Genomic DNA, 2509 nt, shown 5'->3' on the forward strand with positions numbered 1-2509 from the left:
TTGATTTTCTGAGAAAGCACAAACGAAGAAAAAAACAAAAGACATTGGCCAATCCTTGGGGAATGTGTACATTAGACAGGAATGGAACTATACCAGTAGTGTCTGGAGAGCCACAATCACACAAAACCAGGCATACAAAGAAAAGAGAGGGTTTCAAGAAAGTCTGGTTAGCTGTCTCCATAGCTTCAGGGAGCCCAAGTAAGATATTAACTAAGAAAAGATCACTGGGTTTGGCAAGCAAGACATCACTAGAGAGCCTGAATGAGTCATTTTAGCTAAGTGGTAGAGGCAAAGGCCAAGGTAGGTGAGCACTGGAAAAGTTATTGTACATAAACTCGACCATTCTCACAAGACATTGAACAGAGAATAAGAGGAGAGAAAAAGGCTTACAACATCAAGGACAACAGGTACTGGGACATGGAAAAGACCAAGATATGTGTACAAATATAGCAAAACAAGAATGATAAGACCAAGCAGAGAAGGTATCTTTGGTAGAGAATAGTCTCTAAGGAGAAATGTTAATAGTTTTGGGATGCCACTGAAGAATGAACAACATTCTCCACTCATTCCTAACTTGAGGGTAAGCATTACACGTGGAAAACATAATAGGCCAGACTCCATTAAGCTTTCCCTGCTGATGTCAAGGGCTCATAGCAGGGGCTGCCAGAGCAATCTCAGGGAAAGTCAATTTTCAGCGCAGCAGGGAATGAGGGTCATCTGCAAGTCAATGGCTGCCTATTTAAATCCATTAATTCAATGAATATGGACTGTAAGAGTCTAAGGATGAACTCAGCATTTGGGGGGTGATATTCTTCATGTTTCTATTCCATTTGTGTTTTGTAACCACCCTATGAGATTTCTAACTTAACTTTTAAAGAGCAGGTTCAGAAGTTAGGTGACCTGCCCAAGGAAACAGAGTTGTTAGGTGATGGAAGCAATGCTCACTCCAGCCCAGATCTTTTAGCTCTGAGTTCAATGTTCTTTCCACAACATGACACTCTCCTTTTAAACACTCATCTCTTCAACAGCCAAGCCACATAAAGGGGATGGAACAAGAGCATCAGCATAGCAGAACATTAAAATGGCATAACTGAAGGTGTTCCTCACCCTTTTGCACTCTGTCCCCAACTTCGAGTGATTCACCCCAAATTCACTGCCTTTGTTTCTGGAGACAGGGTTCTTGCCTGAATCCTGACTCCTTTTTTACAACTAGAGAACTTTGTGGAGCAACCTGTAAGAAATCCCAGTGTTGGCCAGGCACAGTGGCTCACGCCTGTAATTCCAGCACTTTGGGAGGCCAAGGCAGGTGGATCACCTGAGGTCAGGAATTCGAGACCAGCCCGGACAACATGGTGAAACCCCTTCTCTACTGAAAATACAAAAATTAGCTGGACGCAGTTGCATGTGCCTGCAATCCCAGCTACTTGGGAGGCTGAGGCATGAGGGTCATTTGAATCTGGGAGGTGGAGGTTGCAATGAGCCAAGATTATGCTACTGCACTCCAGCCTGGGTGACAGAGCAAGATTCTGTCTAAAAAATAAATAAATAAAAACAAGAAAAAAATCCCAATGTCCCAATGTCCAATTGCTCCTTTCCTGGAAGTTAAGGGCAATTTTCAGATCCTGCTCCTGATCACTCTCCTCTTCTCTATACTTCCATTGTCACAGGAAGTTTATAAGCAGAAGCCACCCAAGGTCCAAGGGAGGGAGGAGGGTGATGTGGAGAATGGAGTGTCATAATAACCTAAAATACTATGACCCACAACTCCAGCAAAGTCATGTGGGATGTCTGAAATTAGCCAGATAGCTTTTAAAAACATTCATAAGAATTGGCCAGGCACAGTGGCTCATGCCTGTAATCTCAGCACTTTGGGAGGCTGAGGAGGGCGGATCACCTGAGGTCAAGAGTTTGAGACCAGCCTGGCCAGCGTGGTGAAGCCTCGTCTCTACTAAAAATACAAAAAAAAAAAAAAAAAAAAAAAATTGGCTGGGCGTGGTGGCGTGCACCTTTAGTCCCAGCTACTGGGGGAGGCTGAGGCAGGAGAATTGCTTGAACCCGGGAGGCAGAGGTTGCAGTGAGTCAAGATCGCACCACTGCACTCCAGCCAGGGTGACAGAGGGAGACTCCAGCTCAAATAATAAATAAATAAATAAATATTAAATAAAAATATTAAAAATTCCTAAGAATTGCATAATTCTAAAAAAAGTTTAAAAATCTCATAAAGTACAAAGTCCATATAGCTTGACTAAGAATGTGTTTAAATATCTTTAAAATAAAAAGGAAGTAGAAAATCCAAACAAGTAATCATCCTGGGTAGGAGTTGTTGACATCTGACATTTGAATTAAAAATTAATGAAAATATCGTGACTCCTGGTATAAAGGGCTACATAAGCTTTGAGACCAACTTTGTTACAAGTTTGAGGCTCATGATCCAGTATTTCTAAAAAGGAGCTCTTTTGGCTCAATTAGTATATAAGAAGATCTCTTACACAATTAAAATCTTTGGCCC

At 42.0% G+C, this 2509-nt stretch overlaps 1 annotated feature.

Annotated features, from left to right (window-relative positions):
- Positions 435 to 1042: an enhancer, noted in NCBI's record as "OCT4-NANOG hESC enhancer chr2:235549687-235550294 (GRCh37/hg19 assembly coordinates)". NCBI's record gives its function as "activates a minimal SCP1, AML or CMV promoter by ChIP-STARR-seq in naive H9 embryonic stem cells {active_cell/tissue: H9 hESC(naive)}" and the evidence as "EXISTENCE:reporter gene assay evidence [ECO:0000049][PMID:30033119]".

This window comes from Homo sapiens, chromosome 2 (assembly GCF_000001405.40).
Source record: "Homo sapiens chromosome 2, GRCh38.p14 Primary Assembly".
NCBI classification, from domain to species: Eukaryota; Metazoa; Chordata; class Mammalia; order Primates; family Hominidae; genus Homo; species Homo sapiens.